Here is a 23323-nt window from a genome sequence, read left to right on the forward strand (position 1 = left end):
AGGGTAAGAGAGTGACCACAGTGACCACAAAAGCACCTGCAGAAACTATGGATTATCAATTTATTTATTAGTAATTAGTCATGGTAATGAGAAATCAAGTTGTGTTTTGAGGTTGATTTTTTAAAACAGCTTTATTGATATATAATTTGCATGCCATAAAATTCATCTACTCAATTCAGTGATTTTTAGTAAGTTTATAAAGTTGTGCAACCATAACCATAATCCAGTTTTAGAACATTTTCATCACCCCAAAAAAGTGTCCTCATGTTCATTGGCAATCACTCCCTGCTCCTGTCCTCAGCCCCAGGGAACCACTGATTTACTTTCTGACTTTTACAGATTTGCCTTTTCTGGACATTTTATATAAGCAGAAACATACCACATGAAATCTTTGTGCCTGACTTCTTTCACTTAGCATGATGTTTTTGAGATGTGTCTGTATTATAGCATGTGTCTATAGTTCATTCCTTTTTATTGTTGAATAGTATTCCATTGTATGGATATATCACATTTTGTCTGCTTATTTACTAGTAGAGGGATATTTGGCATTGTATCCACTTTGGGACGATTATGAATAATACTACTTTTCATACACAAGTCTTTATGTGGTTCTGTATTTTCATTTCTCTTGAGTAAATACCTAGGAGTGGAATTGGTATATTTCTTTAGATATTTGTAAATCATAGTTTATCAGGCCATCTAGCACATATCAGATTTGAGAAGAAATAATTATTTTACCATTGGTATATATTATATGATTAGTATAATGAACCAATGTTTCATACTTTGTTAAAGAGTGACCACATAGTGACTACAAAGGTCATATGATAGCTTTATGTTTAAGTTTTAAAGACACTTTGAGGCTGATTTTTATTTACCTAAAACCACCTACTATTATCCTTAGCATGACAGAAGGCTCTTTTAGTAAACTCTTCCATTCTTTCTGCTCACTGATATTTTTCTAATAATCTTCTAAGCATTTCAAGTTATTGGATGGAACTGCATCATAACCACCTATTATCTACTTGGGCTGTCACTGCTGCAACTCAAAGATTTATTGCATCATCGTTAAAAAGCCCAGCTTACTGTGAAATCTCACTGAAGGAGTGAGACAGTATTGTGACAGGAGACACATGTTGTGATTGGATAATGTTAACTCGTCTGTGATCCCAGCTGAACACACTTGCTACCCTAGAAGAAGCCTGCCTTCAGGTGGAGCTGGTATAATGAAAGTTAACCTCATTTAGCATTTGGATATGAGCCAATGTATTAAATGATCCACATCCTGATTTCCTAGAGTGGAAGTCATCATTACTGATTCTACAAAGCAGTAGCTTTATAGTATATTTGGTACATTCAAGTTTACAAAATGTTTTTCCCATTCATCTGATTCATTCAACATTTCACTGACCTCTAGCTCTGTGCCAGCAGTGCTAAGCACACAGGCCCACTTCATTCTCTTAACAGCCTTGTCAATGTAGGAAGATCAGATATCAAGATATCAGATATCAGGATATCATATACAGGATATGATGTACAAGATCAGGGATGATATCTGATCTTCCAACACTGGCAAGGTTGTCAGTGAGAATTCAGGATTGTTATGAGAATTAAGTGAAATTGTGTGCTCAACACTGAGCATGTGAGTGTTGTGAGTACACACACCCACACGTACATGTATGCTCAGAGAGGTTTAAATGATTCGTCCAGTCTCACAGTCAGTATGCAGCGGCACCTTCCAGGGCATCACTCTGCTTCCTTTAAGGGAATCTGACCCACAGGAATCTATTTTGATGCCTATAAAAGCCTACTGCATAAAATGACTAAATCTTTTAAAATGAAAAAAGGAGTATTGGATATTAAAAATGAGCCACTTTACATTGTGCCTTTATCTTACTATTTCCAAAATGATAGTCATCTCTTGGCCAAGATAGCTTAAACCCAAACCTTAAATTAGGAAACACCTAAACTTGATATTTTTAATGCAAAAGGAGAATAAGTTAGTTTGCTTTTTCACTAAAGGTTTATGTGTTGCGGTAGAAGAAACTTATTTCTCTTTAGTGGTATGAAAAGGACCCATAATTCCAGGCTTCAACACACCTCATTTGTATTTTCTTTGAGAAAATGTCTCAGTTAAAATCAATGCCCTAGTATTCATTTGAGCTCCCTTGCCTTCAATAAAACTAATTGATAAACCCTAATAATTAATGCCCTGATTAAACCAAAATGACTTACATCTGCCCTGATGATTGCCATTTATAATCAATCACTTTAATGACTCATCTTTTCTGTGCTTTGCTTACAGAAGAAAGGCTGTGATGTTTTTAAGTGAACTGAATGAAAAGCTGTATGCCTTCAATTGCTGTTTGTTTTCCATAACTTGATATTGCATTAAAATAAGCATAAATATAACTACCTCCTTAAAAGTAATCTTTCTGCCTAATCTGTTGTGCTGTTGTCTATGGCTTCGAGTGAAGCTGAAAACAAACAAGAAAAAAAAATCAAATCATTTCAGTGTTTCTAGAGCTATTTTTTTTTTTTTAAGATAGAGTCTTGTTCTATTGCCACAATGGAGTGCAGTGGTGTGATCTCAGCTCACTGCAACCTCCGCCTCCTGGGTTCAAGCGATTCTCCTGCCTCAGCCCTCAGCCTCCCAAGTAGCTGGGACTACAGGCACACGCCACCACACCCAGCTAATTTTTTGTATTTTTAGTAAAGACAGGGTTTTGCCACGTTGGCCAGGCTCATTTCGATCTCCTGATCTCATGTTTCACCCGCCTTGGCCTCCCAAAGTGCTGGGATTACAGGTGTGAGCCACTGCGCCTGGCCCCTGGAGCTATTCTTAAGAGCTGTAGGTTGGCTGGATGTGGTGGCTTACACCTGTAATCCCAGCACTTTGGGAGGCCAAGGCAGGCAGATCATGAGGTCAGGAGATCAAGACCATCCTGGCTAATATGGTGAAACCCCATCTCTACTAAAAATACAAAAAATTAGCCGGGCATGGTGGCAGGTGCCTGTAGTCCCAGCTACTTGGGAGGCTGAGGTAGGAGAATGGTGTGAACCCAGGAGGCAGAGCTTGCAGTGAGGTGAGATCCCACCACTGCACTCCAGCCTGGGTGACAGAGCAAGACTCCATCTCAAAAAATAAAAAAAAAAGAGTTGTAGGCTGGGTGCAGTGGCTCATGCTTATAATCCCAGCACTTTGGGAGGCTGAGGCAGGTGGATCACCTGAGGTCAGGAGTTCGAGACCAGCCTGGCCAACACAGCAAAACCCCATCTCTACTAAAAATAACAAAAACTAGCTGGGCATGGTGGCAGTCTCCTGTAATCTCAGAGACTCGGGAGGCTGAGGAAGGAGAATCGCTTGAACCCGGGAGGCGGAGGTTGCAGTGCGCTGAGATTGGGCCATTGCACTCCAGCCTGGGCAACAAGAGCAAAAACTCTGTCTCAAAAAAAAAAAGTTGTAGAACTTGCATGTTTTAAATGAAACCTTGAAGTAATAAGTTCAGTGGCTATATACTAGGATTGTTGATACTTTGGATATAAGGTAGAATATTTTATGCAAGAGATAACAAAATTTAAATTAGGGGAGCTGTCCTTAACCCAAGATTTAAAGGGATTCTATTTGCTTCAAATTCTGCCACATGAATTCAGATTTAACCTAGTTTAATAAAGTCCTAAGATTATTTATATCTACATTACCTTAAAAAAGGATTCAAGGTGGTTTATGATATAAGGTCAATACAATGAACAAAAGACAAAAGCAAACATTTTAAAAGAAAGGGAGGCGGGGTGTGGTGGCTCATGCCTGTAGTCCCAGCACTTTGGGAGGCTGAGGCAGGTAGATCACTTGAGGTCAGGAGTTCGAGACCAGCTTGGCCAACATGGCGAAACCCCATCACTACTAAAAGTACAAAAATTAACTGGGCTTGTTGGTGGGCGCCTGTAATCCTAGCTACTCAGGAGGCTGAGGCAGGAGAAGCTTGAACCTGGGCATTGGAGGTGGCAGTGAGCCGAGATCGCGCCATTGCACTTTAGCCTGGGTGACATGAGCAAGACTCTGTCTCAAAAACAAAACAAAACAAACAAACAAACAGATACTTCTACTTCTGCCCATGGAGTCACTGCTGTGGGATTTGCCCTCCACCAAAAATAATTAGGAAACTGGACAAAATAGTGAAACAGTTATCTTCAAACTTTAGACAACAGGCAATGTGAGACAGTGATCCCTGAGAGAACAGAAACAAATGAAGTAAGTCCTACTATCACCCAAGCTGTCTGCACAGAAACCCAAACAAAGCTCAAAGGTCTTACTGAGCTGAAAAGACAGAATTTGGAGTTCAAGGAGACCAAAATGGCTAGAATTCACAGAACAGAGTCCTAGAAAGGCAAGAACATGCAGAGAAAGAGCTCTAGAAATTGCATAGGAGTTCCCTTGCGTCTGGCCTAACATCAGCCTCTGCATTTATAGAGTGAAATCCTACAAAGCTAGACAACCAACTACTGTTTAGAAAAGAAAATTTCTGGGGAACTATAAGCCAAACAATTCCCAAAACTTATACAAAGTTGGGAATATTTTAAATTCCAATAATCCAGTGTAGAGAGGCCTCATTAAACACATTGGAGAATTCAAGAAAGAGATTAGAAGGATTATGCTTTAGCAGTGGGGCTAAACTAGCCCTGTAGTAGTGGTTACTCTCAACTCTCCTAAAATAAAAGGTCTAAAATCAGCCTCAAAATGATTCAGCTATCAGTGTTCAGCAGATATATTACTTGCCAGTATCAAGTCCAACACTCTGGATTACAATAAAATCCAGCATTCAACGACACAAGATTCACAATGTTGACAATCCAAATAAAAAGTTGACAAGCAAAGAATTTTTCTTCTGATTATGGATGAAAGACTATAACCGGGAAAAAATCAATCTGTAGAAATAGATGCCCCCCTCCCACACACACACCAGAAATAATGTACTTTGCAGACAGGACTTTAGAATAGTTATTATAAAAACTATATATGTCCAAGGAATTCATAGGAAACATGAGCATAATGAGAGAAATGGAAGACAAACAAGTTGAACATTTATTTTTCAATTATGAAAAATATCTGAAATAAAAATTTCATTGATGGAATTAACTGAATTAGACACTACAGAAGAAATTGTGATATTGAGGTTAAAGATCTGGAAATTATCCAAAATTACTCATTTCTACTACTAGAAAAAATATTTTTTTAAATGAGCACAACCTTAATGATCTTTGAGACACTATCAAGAAGTCTAAGATATATGTGTTAAGTGGAGTCTCAAAAGAAGAGGAAAGAGAAAAGGAAACAAAAAATAATTTGAAGAAATAATGGCTGAAAACTTTCCAAATTTGGTGAAGCCTGTAAGTCCACAGATCTAAGAACTCAATGAACCCTAACCAGGATGAACACAGAGCCACACCAAAGCACATCAAAATAAAAATTTTGATAACCAGTGAGTAAAAAGAAAATCTTAAAAATATTCACAGAAAACAGAGCACATTAAGTAGAGAAACAAAGATAAGATTGACAGCCGACTTCATGTCACAAGCTATGCAAGCCAGAAGATAATGGAAAGACGTCTTTAAAATGTTGAAAGAAAGAAATTATTCCAGAATTCTGTGCCCAGCAAATACATTTTCCAAAAATAAACAGCTAAATAAAGACTTTTTCAGATGAATATGAGAGAATTCATTGCCAGTAGACCAGCATTACAAAAAAATGTTAAGCTATTTAGGATGAAGGAAACTGATGATGGATGGTTAGATCTACACAAAGGAATAAATAGTTTCACAAATCGTGGATAAATAAAAAGATGTTTTCTCACTTCTAAATGTCTTTAAAATATAATTATTTAAAGGAAAAATAAAGACATTATATTATGGAGCTTATAGTGTACATAGAAGAAAGATGTATGAAAATAAAAGATGAGAAGAAGAAAATGGAAATATATTATTGTAAGGTTTGTACATTATAAATGAAATACCCTAATATTACTTGAAGGTAGACTGTAAGAAATTAAAGCAGCATATTGTAAATTCTAGAACAGCCATAAATAAATAAAGCTTCAAACAGACTGGCAAAATTCAACCCATGGGCAAAAATTGGGCCTTCGCCTGTTTTTACAAACACAATGGAATTGGAACACAGTCATGGCCGTTCATTTACATGTGGCCTATCATTGCATTTGCACTACATCAGCAGAATTTGAGTAGTTACAACAAAAAGCTTATAGCTCTCAAAGCCTGAGATATCCACTTATGACTCTTTACAGGAAAAGTTTGCCAACCTCTGGCTTAGAAGCAAATAGTAGAGATTAGTGGAATGCTAAGAACTAGCCCAGCTAACCCAAAAGAAAGCAGGAAAAGAAGAGAAAAAGGAACAAAGGACAGATGGGGCAAATAGATGGTAGAGTTGAACCCAGCCATATCAATAATTACGTTAAGTGTGAATGGTCTAAACAGTCCAATTAAAAGCACAAATGTCAAACTGTATAAAAGAACAAGACACAACTGTACAGTGTTTGCAGGACACCTATTTCAATTATAATGACAGATATATCATCCAACAATAATCAGCAGATTGTTTAAAGAAAAATAATTACATGGCCAGGCGCGATGGCTCACACCTGTAATCCCAGCACTTTGGGAGGCCAAGGCAAGCAGATCACGTGAGTTCAGGAGTTCGAGACCAGCCTGGGCAACATGGTGAAACCCCCGTCTCACTAAAAATACAAAAACTAGCTGGGGGTGGTGGCAGGCGCCTGTAATCCTGGCTACTCAGGAGGCTGAAGAGAATCACTTGAACCCAGGAGGCAGAGGTTGCAGTGAGCCAAGATCACATCACTGCACTCCAGCCTGGGCAACAGAGTGAGACTGTGTCTCAAATAATAATAATAATAATAATAATAATAATAATAATAATAACATGTTGTAGGGTTTATAATTTATGAGAAGAAGCAAAACTAATGTATAATGACAAAACCACTCAGTGATTTACCAAAGGCTGGGGGTCAGGGTAGAACTGACTGTAAAGTTTTTAAACTTTTACACAGCAAACTTTTTGGATGAGTTTAAAAACTTTGAGGTGAGCTTAAAAACTTTAAAGTTTAAAGGTTTCTAAACCTGGGGGTAGGAGGGAGATGGTGAAAACAGAATGAACAAAGGTTTAATGATTTTTTTTTGAGACAGTGGTTAAAACAGTCCAGGTGGAATGCAAAGATTGGTTTGAGGATGACTGGATGTCTAGTACTTTAAAGTTTTTAAACTTTAAACACAGCAAACTTTTGAGGTGATGGAAATGTTCTGTATCTTGATCATGGTGTGGTTGCATGGATGTAGACATTCATCAGACTCATCAAACTACATTCAAAATGGCTGCAGTAAAATTGATTTTTTTAATGAGATTTATTTCAAAAAGTAAAGTGAAATGAGAAGAAATTTCTCTTCAGATATTCTGAACTTTTTAGAAGTTAAATCAGAGGGAAATGCAGTAAGTTATGTTGGTCTTTTAAATGCTGGCCTGAAAACCAGGCTGTATTGGATTGGTTTCTGGTTCAATAAGTCTGGAGTAGAACACAAAAAGCTGTATTTTTTAAATATGCACAGCCAAGCTTAGGAGCTATTTATTTGCATAACTTTCATTGTCTTTATTAAAAGAAACATCCCTATTGTTCAGAAAGAAACCCCCACTTAGAATATACATAAACAACATTGTTATCCTAAAATCGCATGAACAGTATTTTTGTTCAGAGAATATACCAAACTGCTTCTTGGTCTACATGCTCCTGGAGGCCAGAGACAGGGTCTTACTCATGTTTCTCTCCACAGCACCTAGTACCATATCTGGCACATGGTAAGGTGTCAGTAAATATTTGTGAGTGAGTACTTTTAAATGACTATGGATTCTTCTCAGAATGAAGTGTCATTTTGAAATGTATTCATTCTGAACTGTAGTCCATTAAATGGGAAAAGATGGAGCTCCTTCTCAGGCCAAATTCATGCTCTTCTGGATCGGCATGTTAGTTCACCTGTTTAGTAGAGACACCATTTATTCACCATTTGCTCAACAAATATTGTTTCCTGTATGTACCAGACACCATTCTAGATGTGGTAGTGAACAAAACAGACCAAGTATGCATTCATGGAGCTTCCCTTGAAGAGGGGAGTACTGAGAATTAACAGATCTATGTGTAGAAATGGAGCGTGTTGATGGAGGTAAATGTTAAGAAGAACACTGAAGCAGAAGAAAAGGGAAAGGAAGTATCTGAGCTGGGGGGTATTGCTACTGCATACTACGTGGTTAGGAAAGGCTTCCCCTAAAAAGGTAAGAATCTAAAGCAAAGGAGAAAAATTCAGGCAAAAATCTAAAGCAAAGGAGCAAGCCAGGGACAATTTGTGGAAGCATAGTAGTATTCCAGGGACACAGAGCCACAGCGCAAGAGCATACCTGGCAGGTAGGCCAGTGAGCTGAAGCAGAGTGGGCATGGAAAAGAGTGGCAAGGTGAGAGTATGGGGCAGCTCACAAGGGCCTTGGGGACCTCTGGGAGGACTTTCCATTTTTGCACTGAGTTGGAAAGGCTTTGGAGGTTTTAGGCAAAGAAGTGACGTGGTCTGACTTAGGTTTTAAAGGGATCATTTTAGCTGCTGTGTTGAACACAAACTATAATAGAGCAAGTGTAAAACTAGGGAAACCAGCTTAGTAGCATTGTTGAGGAAGGGGTGCATATAGTCTGGCAAAAATGTTTCCTTGTAAACATCACATTGGTTTTACAGTCCTACTTACTGAGCTTTGGAAATTATTTTCTTTGAGCTAGTATTTTACCCAAATACAGCTTTAATTGCCACAGTAGCAATAGAAATTATTTTCTAAATATAATGAAATATACAACTTTTTCTAGCTTGGTTGATTACCAATTGATAATGATAATACACTTAAAGAATGTTGGACAGTTTAAAAAGCAATTTTACATTCATTATCTCATCTAATCCTCACAGTTCTCTAATATTGACAAGGTAACTGTTATCTCCCTACAGAGTTGGAAACTAAAACATCACATGCCAAGGCCAAAGTCATGTGCCAAATTTGTGACAGGATCAAAAAGACTAAAACCCAGGTCATATGTCTCCTAGCCCAGATTCATTGACTTTGTTAAAGGGGGTTGTTAGGTTCAAATTATGTCTCAAGGTTGCTGGTAAAGGGGACATTTATATTAGCAAATTTAATGTATCATTTAAAAAGCTATCAACCAGTGAGCAAGATACTGTGCTCGGAAGGGATACATTTAAAGATGTATAAAGTATACTCCTACCCTATGAACTTATTTCTTTTGGTGATGATACTGATAACAGCAAAAACATTAAGTAACTCTTAGTATAAAATGTCGTTAAAGCTGAGTGCAGTGGCAAACATCTGTAGTCCCTTTGACTCGGGAGGCTGAGGCAGAAGGATCACTTGAGCCCAAAAGTTTGAGGTCAGCCTGGGCAACATAGCAAGACCCTGTCTCTGAAATACATACATGCATACATACATTACATACATAAATCATATGCTTTGTCCCATATGTTACATACATAAATCATATGCTTTGTCCCAAACAAATGGTACAGACAGATGCTACAGAAATTCAAAGAAGATAGTGACTTTGATGGCCTGAGATTAAGGATGGGCAGGATTCAGATAGTTGGAAAATATGGAGGAAAGGTTTCTAAACCTGGGGGTGGGAAGGAGATAATGAAAACAGAATGAACAAAGCCTTAATGATGAGGTTTTTTTTTCTTTTGAGACAGTGATTAAAACAGTCTTGTTGGAATGCAAAGATTGATTTGAGGATGACTGGATGTCTACTACTTTCACACATAAAGTACTTCTGAAAACCAGATTGAGGGGAGAATATGGAAAAGTCATACAGTAGGCTTACATATATGTTAAAAAGATGTTGGAAAGCTGGAAAAATGCAGTCAGGTTCTTATTTACACCTTGTCTTTTGGAATATAGTTTAGCAGTTTTGTTGTTTTATTATTTTGTCTTTCCATTGATCCACTTAAGTCAGATGTATCTGATTGAAACTAAAGATTTGCTGCTTTTAGCATACCTCTTAATTTCCAGGCAGCACCTTCTTCCAGGAGTTCAAAATATTTGTTCATTAACTGTCTCCATCTGATATGGTAGCTTAAGAATGGTTTAGGGCAAACTTGTCCAACCCATGCTCCACGGGCCACATGAGCCACAGGACGGCTTTGAGTAGTGCAGCCCAGCGCAAATTTGTAAACTTTGTTAAAACATTATGGGATTTTTGTGTGTGTGCCATTTTTTTTAAATCTCTTCAGCTATTGTTAGTGTATTTTATATGTGGTCCAAGACAGTTCTTCTTCCAATGTGGCCCAGGGAAGCCAAAAGATTGTACACCCCTAGTTTAGGACATCAATATGTAAAAGAACAAATTGTCCAAAAGAAAAATATTTAAAACTGAGGGCCCATGATAAGAACTAGATTTGAAAAATAAGACCAAACTATGTAGAATCTAACATTTGTTTCAGTTCAGCAAACATTTAAGTGTCTACTGTGGCTATGATGTGTTGTGCTAACTACTGGGGCACACTTGAAAGCACAACCCTGTTCTTAAGGAATTCATGTTCTGGTTGGTGGGGGGCATGTCAGAGAATACTTAACCTCCTCCTTAAGGAGACAAGTGATGTAGTGAAAGTGGTATATTTAAGGTTTAATATGATGATGGTATAAGAATTATGTTGAAAAATTAGAGAAAACTAGACGCCAAGAGACCAGGGACTTGCTGGTAAAGGGGACATTTGTCTTAGCAATTTTTTTTTTTTTTGAGACAAGTCTCGCTCTGATACCCAGGCTACAGTGCAGTGGCACCATCTCAGCTCACTGCAACCTCTGTTTCCCAGGTTGAAGCAATTCTCCTCCCTCAGCCTCCCGAGTAGCTGAGATTACAGGTGTCCGCCACCACGCCCGGCTAATTTTTGTATTTTTAGTAGAGATGAGGTTTTGCCATGTTGGCCAGGCTGGTCTTGAACTCCTGACCCCCAGTGATCTGCCTGCCTCAGCCTCCCAAAGTGTTGGGATTACATGCGTGAGCCACTGCTCCCGGCCATGTATTAGTAAATTTAATGTATCATATAAAAAGCCATTAATCAGTGAGCAAGATACTGTGCTTGGAAGGGATACATTTAAAGATGTTTTAAGTATGCTCCTACCCTGTGAACTTATTTATTTCTTGGGGCGATGATACCGATAAAAAGAGCTTACACCTGCCTGTGCATACCAACTTGAATTCATAGAGCCTCCCAATAGAGGTTATAGTGTGTGGTATCTGAAGGGCTTGCTACAGAGACAGGCTCTACAGTTCACCCCTCATCACTGAAACAGAATCATCAACCACAATGTGTACTTGTGGTTTCCATTCTTTATTCACTCATCCATTCAACAAATGTTTATCGAGCACTTGAAATATATCTGGCACTCTTTCAGGGGCTGGGAGTACAGTAGTCAAGAAAAGAGACAAAGTCCTTGCCTTCATGGAATTTACATTCAAATGTCAGTTATCAGGCTAACTGAGGCTGATAATATTTAGCAGGCTAAATGAGCTAATGTATAAGAAAATGCCAAGCACATTGCCTGTCACATAAGTATGATTCAGTAATAGTTACTGTGTGTGAACTTGAAATTTGAATTAAGTATCTACTCTTGGCAAGATACTTTGTTGTGGTACCCTTTTGCCGGATGGAAGGTCAGGAGAAGATTAACCCATTTACAGTTTTTAAAAAAATGTTACACCAAAAAATTGAGTCTCCTGTTCAGTGTCAGTGTAGTTGAGATTATATGCTGTTTTAAATATAACCAGTTGTCTCTGCTGGACTACACTTTTGCCATAAAAGACGCATTGAAGCAGATGCTGCTCTATACCATCAAAAGTGGTATGCTCTTGTCCTCCTTGGGTGGCTTTTTTGGGCTCCCTGAATTCCTGAAAAGGCTCATTGTTGTCACTGACGATGCTTCACAGAAATCCTTTGTGTCATTACTTAGCGACTGACTGCTTTGGTGAAATCTATGTCAATTCTTTTGTTAACTATAACAGCAGCCAAAAATAATGTAAGGGAAGAGAAGGATAAATGAAACAAAGACTAATAAGCACATGCATGTACACATATATACACATCTTTTAGATAAATTTCTAAGTATTATCTGAAGTAGCATTTGCCTTGTAAAACATGTGAAATAGCAGTACTACATTAATTTCCTCATCGGTTTCATTCAAATATGACCTGTTACCCGTAGCATATGAATGCTTTTTCCTTGTTGCCTCCCTTTGGCATTACTATTACTTAGATAGGAGGACTAGCTTGATAATTACACATATAGAGCAAAACTCATCCTTTTTGTGCAAATTCTTTGCAAGAAGATTACATTTTCTTATCTACCTACTTTTCCTGAAAAACTAGGGATAGGATGATGGGTGTATTTACTGTTGTTGTAAGCCAAGGTTTGATTTCACTGTCACTTAAAATAAACTCTTTCTTCTGTAGAAACCAGAAATCGTTGAACGTGGAGGAGTTAAGACCTTACATTTTACCTTCGGTTAAAAAAAAATGCTTTTCATTAAATTTGTGATTTGAATTTCGGATTGAGCAGATGATGTCATTTCTGCAACTTGGTGTGGTGTGCATGTGTGCTTTTAAAGAACAAACGCTGTAGATACATGGAATTAGTTACATGGCCTTTTCTGGTCCCTTTTTAGACGTGAAGCCCTCCAATATGCTAGTAAACACAAGAGGACAGGTTAAGCTGTGTGATTTTGGAGTTAGCACTCAGGTATGTCTCTTTTCCTCCCAGTGTACTGTTTTCTCTGCAACAACCCCTTTATATTTTCATTCTGTTCTCTGGATTGAAAAATCACCTAGCTGCCAGACAAACAGAAACTCTGCATCTTTTCCTCATCTGGGAGTGTGTTATTCATTTTTAATCTCTGAGCGAGTTTCCTTCATCAGAATATGATTGTTCATTGTTTAATGACAGTAAAAACTGCTGATATTGTAATTACTACTTACGAATAGCAAACTTCATTGATATGCAGCTTTGATATGAAAGCGTTTTGGCCAGACAAAAGGGAGGGCAGAGTGGGAGCTGTGCCTGGGGAGCCCAACTGGCCCACAATAAAAATTAATATTGGGAGCAACAATGGTGGAGGGCCATTACAATGTGCAGCACAAATTTTAATTAATTTCCATTTTGGACCTCCCCTGAGAAACCCAGTGATAGTGACCCATGAGCATGCTGTGATGTTGATTTGAATTGCAGCCACCTTTACTCCCAGCCAAACACGAAGACCAAAGCGAAGGTCATCGTTGTATTATGAGTTGTCAAAGTCTGTTATCCCTCCAGCGTATTTAGTGTTCATTTCATTCTAGTAATGCATGGGGCTTCATTCACATCTTGAGCCATCTGACTAAAAATTGAGTGTGTTCAAATTCTGCTTTAAATTGACTTTTTATATCAGGCGGGTTTGGGATACTAAAGCGATAAGTATCCTGCTTAAGTGAATTGTTTAAGGTTATCTGCTATAAACTGTAATGCTGTGCTTGTTTAAACTGGAAATCACATTCAAAAGAAAAGAGAGATTTAATCATTTTTATTGCCTTTGTAGATAAATTTGTTCCCTTTTACATAATTTTTAGTTGATTTATATGAATGATGATTGTAGGTTAAATGAGGAATAATTGCCCATTTTATTTCCACATTATCTTTATATTGTTCTAACAGACTGTTTTGTCTCATAGCTGGTGAATTCTATAGCCAAGACGTATGTTGGAACAAATGCTTATATGGCGGTAAGTAAACTTATGCAAAAATAATGTTTAAAACCAACATCTTTATCTTTATGTACTTGGTAATGTATAATTCTTGAATTAATTCCACAGCTTTAGCCTAGCAGATCATAAATTGCAAAGTCAATCTAGTCATGATCTGATTTTTAAATCTTTCTAAAAGACATTAGAGTTTTTACAGGAGCTATCAACTTATCTGACTTTGTTGACTTAACTGGTTGGTTCAAGTGTGAAATCGCTGAGTTTCGAAGTTTAATCCTACAGAGAGATTTCACCTTGTAGCATACTGGCCACTTTTCCACATTTCTTATTTAATTAACCCTCAAGTATCCCCAAATGTCAGTCAATAAAATTGTTTTTTTTTTTTCTTGGAATATGAACATGCTTTGTCACCAGATCAAAATTAAATTACTGTGTAGCCAAATTTTATTTATGGATCTCTGAATGTAAAGGTTTAGGGGGCAGTTTTCTATAGAACTTGTACCTCTATATTTTGTTTAGTTGTTATTCATGCCTATTGTAAGATTATTTAGTTGCACTGAAATAAACTTACCAACAATAACAAGTAGAATCATAAGGCTGTTTCAAAGACCAGTGCAGACTTGGCTTTTGAGTAAGGGAAGTTATTTGTTTTCATAAAAATACTTTAGTTTATGGGTTTTCATAATCACCTTGAGAGTCAAAGGGAAAAAAAATTAAACAGGAAACTTATCTAGTATTAATTTTGGAGCAAAGTTTTGTCTTCCTCTAACAAAGATAATTTTTTATAATGAAAGCTCTAAATTTATTTAGGTAGTCCCTTTCATCTCTAATAGCCTTTGTTAATATGTCATGAAATTAAATGATGTTAGTATGGATAAAACCGTGGGTCTTAGTCTCAGTATTCTTTCTGTATATATTATCTTGATTAAAGATTTAGGGATGGAAAAAACACATGAAAAAATGCTCATCATCACTGGCCACCAGAGAAATACAAATCAAAACCACAATGAGATACCATCTCACACCAGTTAGAATGGCGATCATTAAAAAGTCAGGAAACAACAGGTGCTGGAGAGGATGTAGAGAAATAGGAACACTTTTACACTGTTGGTGGGACTGTAAACTAGTTCAACCATTGTGGAAGTCAGTGTGGCGATTCCTCAGGGATCTACAACTAGAAATACCATTTGACCCAGCCATCCCATTACCAGGTATATACCCAAAGGATTATAAATCATGCTGCTATAAAGACACATGCACACGTATGTTTATTGTGGCATTATTCACAATAGCAAAGACTTGGAACCAACCCAAATGTCCAACAATGATAGACAGGATTAAAAAAATGTGGCACATATACACCATGGAATACTATGCAGCCATACAAAATGATGAGTTCATGTCCTTTGTAGGGACATGGATGAAATTGGAAATCATCATTCTCAGTAAACTATTGCAAGAACAAAAAACCAAACACCACATATTCTCACTCATAGGTGGGAATTGAACAATGAGAACACATGGACACAGGAATGGGAACATCACACTCTGGGGACTGTTGTGGGTTGGGGGGAGGGGGGAGGGATGGCATTGGGAGATATACCTAATGCTAGATGACGAGTTAGTGGGTGCAGTGCACCAGCATGGCACATGTATACATATGCAACTAACCTGTACATTGTGCACATGTACCCTAAAACTTAAAGTATAATGATAATAAATTTAAAAAAAAAAGATTTAGGGATGGAACCTTATTCTAAACCTAATTCTAAACCTAAACCTTCTTCTCAGAACAATACAAAACATTTTGTTTTCATTCAGATACCAGAATAGCTCATTTTTGTCTTGCATGGTTTTTAAAGAAAGTTTATACTTTCTTGTATAATAATAGGAAAAATAATAAATTAACCTCTGAAGTCTTCATATCTGTTTTTATAAAATGTAATTACCTTCCTTCCTCTACCAAGTTAGGTGAGATTGGTGAGCCACCTTTATAGCCTTGCTGAATGCTAAGGTTTAAGTCTTTGAAAGAATATGAAACACTGTAATTTTTTAAAAGTTGGGGGGACATGACTATAAATGAAACAATTGCTCAACTACCCAGCATGTTCTTAGTAGCTTTAAATTCCTCTGATAATTAAATTGCATTATATTTGAATGTACAAATCCAGATTACAGTTGTCTTTCCCAGGTGTACATTAAAGAAATTAGTTTTTTATTTTTGTTTATGGATGAATGTGATGCATCCATCTGTTAATTGAAAATGTGAGGATTAAAATTATGAAATGTTAGCTTGGATTGACAAAACTAAAATTGCTTTGCTTCTTAGGTGAGTGAATTCTAGTCGTCAGCTTTGTAGTTCAAGCTATAAAAAGCATAAGATACCTAGAAAAGGAGCAATGATAGCTTGAGAGTGAGTGCTTTGCTCAGGTCAGTAGGAGGCTCTTATTGGCCAAGTGCTCACCTACATGGTGTAAGGTTGGGGGTGGGGGGAGGTGGAAATAACCTATATTATTATAGTACAGGTATGAATCCCTGACTTTTATCTGCTGACAGTCTCTTGAGAGAAAAGAGCTGAGCTTTTTTTTTTTTTTTTTTAACCACAACTAGTTCTCATTTTAGCTGTTATATTTTATAATTTTGAGTTCTACATGAGCCCTATGCCAAATATCCATGAACTACAGTTCTCAGGCCAAATTCAATTTACTGGAACAATGTACTGATCACTCTTCCAAGCTCTTACTGCCTATTTTTGTAAATAAAGTTTTATTGGAACATGACCACACCCATTTGCTTATATATTATGCATGGCCCCTTTAGCACTACAGTGGCAGAGTTGAGTAGTTGTGACATTTGCAGCAGAAAGTATATGGCTCATAACATGAAAAATATTTACTAGCTGACCCTTTACCGAAAAAGTTTGCCAGCCCCTGATCTATGCCAGTGAAAGTTGTATCTGAAACTGAGCACCTTCAATAATCAACCAGCATTTACTGAGCATCTTCTATGCTGTTAGGTACAGTGGAACCACTCTATAATGTAGATAAGACTTGGGTGAAACAGGGAACACGACATTATATGTAGCAGCATTATGTGTGACATAATAAAGACTTAAGTTGTACCAAACATACATTTAGAAAATAAGACAGGCCAGGCACAGTGGCTCATGCCTGTAATCCCAGCACTTTGGGAGGCCAAGGCAGGCAGATCACCTGAGGTCAGGAGTTTGAGACCAGGCTGACCAACATGGAGAAACCCCATCTCTACTAAAAATACAAAAAATCAGCTGGGCGTGGTGGTGCATGCCTGTAATCCCAGCTACTCAGGAGGCTGAGGCAGGAGAATCACTTGAACCCGGGAGGCGGAGGTTGCGGTGAGCTGAGATCGCACCATTGCACTCCAGCCTGGGCAACAAGAGTGAAACTCAGTCTCAAAAAGAAAAAAGAAAAGAAAATGAGACTTACAGTGTACAAACTTGATGATTCAAACAGTATGTGAAAAGGATGCTTGCATAAGAGAAAGATCACTGTGAATGGATGAGCAAATACTCAGAAATAGAAGGCATGGGTGAGGGTGAAGAAGTGGGGAAGAGGACAAATAAAAAATTGCAGGAATACATAATTAGAAGTCATTTGATACCCTCATTTTATGTATTTCCCTCACTTTATATTCATGCATACTTCTGTATAGTGATAATAACATCAGTAATAATAATAGCTTACACTTAGGTAGCTTTATGTGCCAATCACTCTTCTTACATATATTAACTTTTAAATCCTCACAACACTATGACATAGGTAATATTATTATTCTCATTTTAGAGATAAAGAAACTGAAGCAAGAGAAGCTAAGTGACTTACCCAAGTTCACAAAGCTCATAAGTGTCAATCAGAACTCAAAATTAAGTGATCTGCCTTCAGAGACTAAATTCTTAATTGCTGTGCCTCTCATTATACCCATATTATTTATGCATCTCCCCCAATCTAGATTATGACTTTCACAGTGGCAAGATTTATTCTGCTCACTCTATATATCCAGTACCTCACACAGTGCCAGATGAATGAATTAGTTCACGAAAGCTGCATTCCAAAAGTGTCTTGTTCTCTAATTATAAGCACAGCATTTAACTTTTCGTATTAAGAATCTTGCTTGTGTTTCAAGGTATAGACAGCCCAAAATTACCCAAATACAGCCAGCTAAGCTACTCAAATATGAAAAAGAAAATATATCAGAATGAAATAGCCCTGTATATGTGAATAATCTCACTTAATCTGTAATCGAAAGCGTAAAATATAGAAAAGATAATTAGGAAAAAGACAGGGAGGTTTTTGTAACATCATTAGTCATTTAGAAAAACCAAGTATGGGCACATTAAGCAGCAATGTGCTTGTAGGAGACTTGAAAAGTCATCTTGATCCAACCTCCCCATTGACCAGTGAGGAGACTGAGACCTGGAAAAGTGAAGTGTCATGCTCAAGGAAATACTGTTTTTTAGGGGCAGATAATTAATAGGTTCAATAGATACCTTCATCCAAACCATGAAAGATTTTCAACCACATTTTGATAGGATTTTATCCATAAGAATTATAAAAGGGGTCTGGAAACTTGGAGCTTATATTAAATTAACCATTTTTCAGAAATTCTTTATTTTTTTTTTCTTGAGATGAAGTCTCACCCTGTCCCCCAGGCTGGAGTGCAGTGGCGATTGCAGCTCACCGCAACCTCTGTCCCCTGGGTTCAAGCGATTCTCCTGCCTCAGCCTCCAGAGTAGCTGGGATTACAGGCGTGCACCACCACGCCCGGCTAATTTTTGTATTTTTAGTAGAGATGGGGGGTTGCGCCATGTTGGCCATGCTGGTCTCGAACTCCTGGCCTCAAGTGATCCACCCTCCTTGGCCTCCCAAAGTGCTGGGATTACAGGTGTGAGCCACCACGCTCAGCCCAGAAATTCTAATTACTAAAAATTTTATTATGTTTTTAAGATAGAAGTTCCTAAAACTTTAACCAACTATTCAGTCTTCCTGGCTTACTATCATTTTAAAAATCAAATATAAAAATTGACACTATTGCTATGATTAACTGAAGTTTTAAAATGAAAAAATCTTACTCAAATACTTGGGATCAGAAAGTCAATCTAAATAACCATTCTTATCTCTAGAACATTTTTTTCTGCCCAAGCTATTCCAGTTCTTGGTAATTGTCTTTACTCGGAATAAAACACATACACATTGCATGATCCAACTCAATTGGCTATGCTCATGCGATGGTAGTAATGGTAGTGGTGGTGACTGGAAGGAGGCTAACATTAACTGAGCATTCCCATGTGGCACGTACTGAAGCACATTACGGGATTCATTTAATCTTCACACAACCCCAGGAGGTATACGTATTACTACTATTATTTATTATTACTCTCTTCATTTTACAGATGAGGAAACCAAAGGTAAAAATATCTTTAACCCAAGGTCTCAGAGTTGGCACATAGTAAAAGGCAATTTAATGAGGACATCAGCTTCTAGTTTCTGCTAATAGCAGACTAAGTTATTTAGATCAACTCTTCTGTTTAAATATGCTAGCTAAGTTTTTTTTTTTTTTTAAACCATCTCAAATGCACCGAAGAGCTAAAAAGACAGTGGGCTACTCCCAGGACAATTTTTGAATGAAATCCTACCACAGAGAGGAAAGTAGAATGGGAGCCCCATCACTGCTTATTCCTGAGGGCATTTGCCTGAATCACAGTCAGGCAAGAGGGGCAGCAGCCAAGCTTCAGGGCCCACCTAAGTCAGAAGGTCTCAGAGGAGATTTTCTGTTCCCTGCTAGAAGCCTAAATGGCTAACCTCAGTGTAAGAGTAAACTAGATCTAAAACTGCTCCTCTTCCCCCAGTCCCGGGAAACTGAAGAGGAGGCATCTGGAACTAAGCAGAGAAGCAGAAGAAATAGGAAAAGTGGAACAAACTATGACCATAGCCTAGCCCTAGTATAGATTTACACCCTGGGTATATGCATACGTGTCCTAGGTTGGACAAGGCACATCATGCTGAGAAGTGGTTTGAGGTGGTCTCCACCTTAGGCCTCAGAGAACCTCTCCAAAATTTTTCTTTCAAGGGGAAAAACTAGCAAGCAAAGAGAACCAGGCACACAAGAAAACAAAGCCACCTGAACAAGATCAGCAGGAACAGCAGGCAGCAGAATCAGATGCATACAGACTTAAGATCACACATTTTTTAAGTGACATAGTAGATTTTTAAAGTCCTAAACAAAACTTCTAGATTAAAATTTAAAACTCACTGTATTTGACAGCATATTGGACACAGCAGAAGAGAGAATTGGTGAACTGGAAGACAGATCTGAATTCAAGCAGTCTAACTCCAGAGCCCTGTTTAACCAGTGTTCTGTCTGCCTACACAGGGATCTTGCCAATGTAAAAAAAAAAAAAAAAAATCCTCATCACTTGTGATACATATTTTGACTATACACTAGCCTGAAGTTTTCTTGCCTACTTTGTTAATTTTCTAGGTAGCCTGAGTCTGAACAGAAATTCCTTTTTTGGAAGAGATAAGGGATATACCTTGGTATCTTCCTGCTTTTGACAAATATCGTTGTAAACAGACGGTTCTGGAGTTAGTTAACTAAATGTGGATTCTTGTCAAGGCTGAGTCACAGAGGGCATCTGGAGGGAGTATAGTGTGGGTGCCAGAAGGACTGCCCTTTAAGATCTTCCATAAATTCTACTTATTAGATCATCACTACTCTTTACTGTTCTTATTAAGAACAGGTCAGGGTTTTTTGTTTCATTTTGTTTGCTTGTCATTTAACCTCACTACAAAGATGTTTTAGACAAGAGTCATGTTTTTCCTATTATTTAGCTTTTCACACTGATGACAGCTGTCATGTGAGAGAGTAACCTCAGTTTTAGCTTTTTAACTGCTAAATATCCATCATAGATATTCTGTCAACAACATGGTACCTGGTAGTTGGTTTTGTTTTGTTTTGTTTTTCAGGGGAGAGGACAGGGCAGGCCACCTTGGCTTCAAGTGTGAGAACAGCTTTGAATTGTGCAGCCTTGGGCCATCAAATCCTGGCTCCATAAATTCAGAATGTTTTGCTGCTCATCTTGTGTCTAAATCACTTCCAGGGGCCTGAGCACATTTCCCAATCCCTATCCACCTTAAGAGTTGTTTAGGATAGACACGTGGAGCTTGCTGTTGGCTTTTGCTGAAAATTTTTGCTCAAACACTGCATCACAGCAGTAATCTTGTTTCATTAGCTTATTGCAAGAATAATTTCCCCAACAAGAGGTCATCAGAATCTGACCCTTAAAAGAGTTCTCTTATTTGCCATCTAGTATCTGTGAACATTATCACTTTTTCTATTTTTTCTTCTTAAATTTAATTTAATTTTTCTATGCTTTATTATCAGCTTACAGTTTGCATTTGTTTTGATATTTCAGTGGGCAAATGTAATAAGTGTGTTTAACCTCCTTTTTGATCCTGCCCAAATATTTTGTATGTGGGTTCCACTTTTGTGTGTGTGCGTGTTTTTTCTGTATTCTGGGTGAAATACTTGGTACCTGTTAATCAGTAGAATGAAGAAATGGAGAGAGGAAGGAAAAAAGGACAGGGGTTAGGGCAGCATTTAGTTATTTCTTTAATAATTCTAGAGGATTTTAGGATTTTCATGTTTGTTAGAAGTTCTTGACAGACATGAATAGCAATGTATGAGGAAGTTATATAAGAACTCTCTAAGGAACTTATTTGTTCATGCAGTAAACATGTATTACATTCCTTCAGTCAGCATGCATTGACTGCATACCTGTTATGTGTCAGGTAAGGTATTAGGTATGTCTGCCTAGTACTCTCTTTGCCTCTTAGGAAAAATAGACTAGAAAACAGATGATTTTACAACACAGTGTGATAAATAATAAGATATGAACAGCATTTTAATGAAGTACAGAAGCAGGAATTTATAATTCTGCTGTAGGAGTAGAGAAAGGTTTCACCCTCAAACAGGATCTGTGTGAGACATGGTCATTAAGCAGAGAAGAGGAAGGCAGGGAGATGTAAAAGGTCATTGTCTCTCCAGGGAACATGGAAATATTTAGTGACTGGAGCTAAGTGTACCAAAGAATCACCCAGAGAAATTATTTTTTAAGTGAGGATCTCTAGCCCCACCCCTAGAGATTCTTATTCTGGAGGTTCATTTGTATTAACAGTGAGCACCTCAGGCAGTTCTGCGATGGCTGCTCCAAAAACTGCACATTGAGAAATACTGACCAGCTCAAGGCTGTGCTTGGCTCTTCTGACTTCTAGTTGTGGGGTCAGTTTGACTCACTGGAAAGAACTCTAATTTTGCAGTCAGACATAACTGGCTTTGAATCCTGGCTCCGCTCCTGGACAGTGCATTTAATGCTAACCCATAGCTCTAGACTTTGAACAAGTCACTTACTAAGCCTCAGTTTTTACATTTGTAAACTGAGGGCAATAATACCTACTTTTGCAAAATCATTATGAAGTAGAAGACCCAAAGTACCTAGCCCAGTGTCTGACACTAGTAAGTGGTCATTAAATGATAGCTATTACTATCCTTCTTTTATAGTGGATACAGCACTCATAATGGTTAGTAATGTAAACTACTCTGTGCCTCATTTTCCTCATCTGTTAAATGGTGATGATAAAATAGTACCAATATTACATGGATGTTTATGAATCTGAAATGAGATATGCATGAAAAACACTAAAACAAGGCCTGGTGTATAGAAATTCTTTAATAAATGCACACATAATTGTGTTGTTGATGATAGTAATGATGGTGACAATAATGTTATTCCTGTAGCCGGCTAGCCAGTTCCATATGAATACATCCTGGTATCTATTGAATTGGATATTGGGGTGTAAGTTATGATCTCAGCCTTGCCATGATTAGCCTGTAACCTTTAGCAATCATTCCACCTTTGTGAGACCTCCGTTTCTCTTATTCATTTGTTCACGTGTTCATTCCAAAGCCATCTATGAAGTACTGTACTGAATGCTAAATCCTAGAGGGATAGATAGATCAGGAAGCATCCACTCAGTATGAAATTATTCCTTTTGAAGTTGAGAGTGTTTATGTAGCCTCTTTTAGACCGGGTATTTGCTATACATCTTGAGTGGAGGACCAAGAGTCCCAAATGGACCTTTCAGACTGTTCCTTGGTTCATATACAAAGAAACTCTGATCAATGGAATGAAATGTTGAACAGCAGATGAATCTGGGTAAAGGAAATAGGAATGTGTATTGCTCTGATCTCATTTTTTCAAATTTCCTATAAGTTTGAAATTATTTTCAAATAAAAAATTAAAAGAAACCCTCCTGTTCCAGACCAATCTATCAAAATGCAAATAAGTGATAATATCATATAATGTTGTGTAATTTGTTACTCCACAACAAAGACCACTGGATTTGGAGGGAGAGGATCTGGGTTCAAGTCTCAG

The 23323-nt window shown here is 37.7% G+C and overlaps 1 protein-coding gene across 6 annotated transcripts in view, besides 2 other annotated features; it reads left to right on the top strand.

Moving 5' to 3' along the window:
* MAP2K5 (mitogen-activated protein kinase kinase 5) overlaps positions 1-23323 on the top strand; it is a 264412-nt gene that overhangs the window by 136991 nt on the left and 104098 nt on the right. For 3 of the 6 annotated variants that reach the window (NM_145160.3, NM_002757.4, NM_001206804.2), the window contains exons 14-15: positions 12786-12859; positions 13825-13875. In NM_145160.3, coding sequence (NP_660143.1) covers positions 12786-12859; positions 13825-13875 — 125 coding nt within the window. Of the gene's footprint in view, positions 1-2; positions 2431-12785; positions 12860-13824; positions 13876-23323 lie in introns of those variants that run through there. The other 3 variants (XM_011521788.4, XM_047432856.1, XR_007064474.1) reach the window with 2 other exon arrangements.
* Positions 9734-9903: an enhancer, noted in NCBI's record as "experimental_40692 CRE fragment used in MPRA reporter constructs". NCBI's record gives its function as "activates a minimal promoter by MPRAs in K562 erythroleukemia cells, with activity observed for both the introgressed and non-introgressed 15:67981850 variant alleles {active_cell/tissue: K562}" and the evidence as "EXISTENCE:reporter gene assay evidence [ECO:0000049][PMID:34662402]".
* Positions 11764-12323: an enhancer, noted in NCBI's record as "OCT4-NANOG hESC enhancer chr15:67983795-67984354 (GRCh37/hg19 assembly coordinates)". NCBI's record gives its function as "activates a minimal SCP1, AML or CMV promoter by ChIP-STARR-seq in naive H9 embryonic stem cells {active_cell/tissue: H9 hESC(naive)}" and the evidence as "EXISTENCE:reporter gene assay evidence [ECO:0000049][PMID:30033119]".

The sequence above is a fragment of the Homo sapiens genome, chromosome 15, assembly GCF_000001405.40.
Source record: "Homo sapiens chromosome 15, GRCh38.p14 Primary Assembly".
In the NCBI taxonomy this organism is placed as follows: Eukaryota; Metazoa; Chordata; class Mammalia; order Primates; family Hominidae; genus Homo; species Homo sapiens.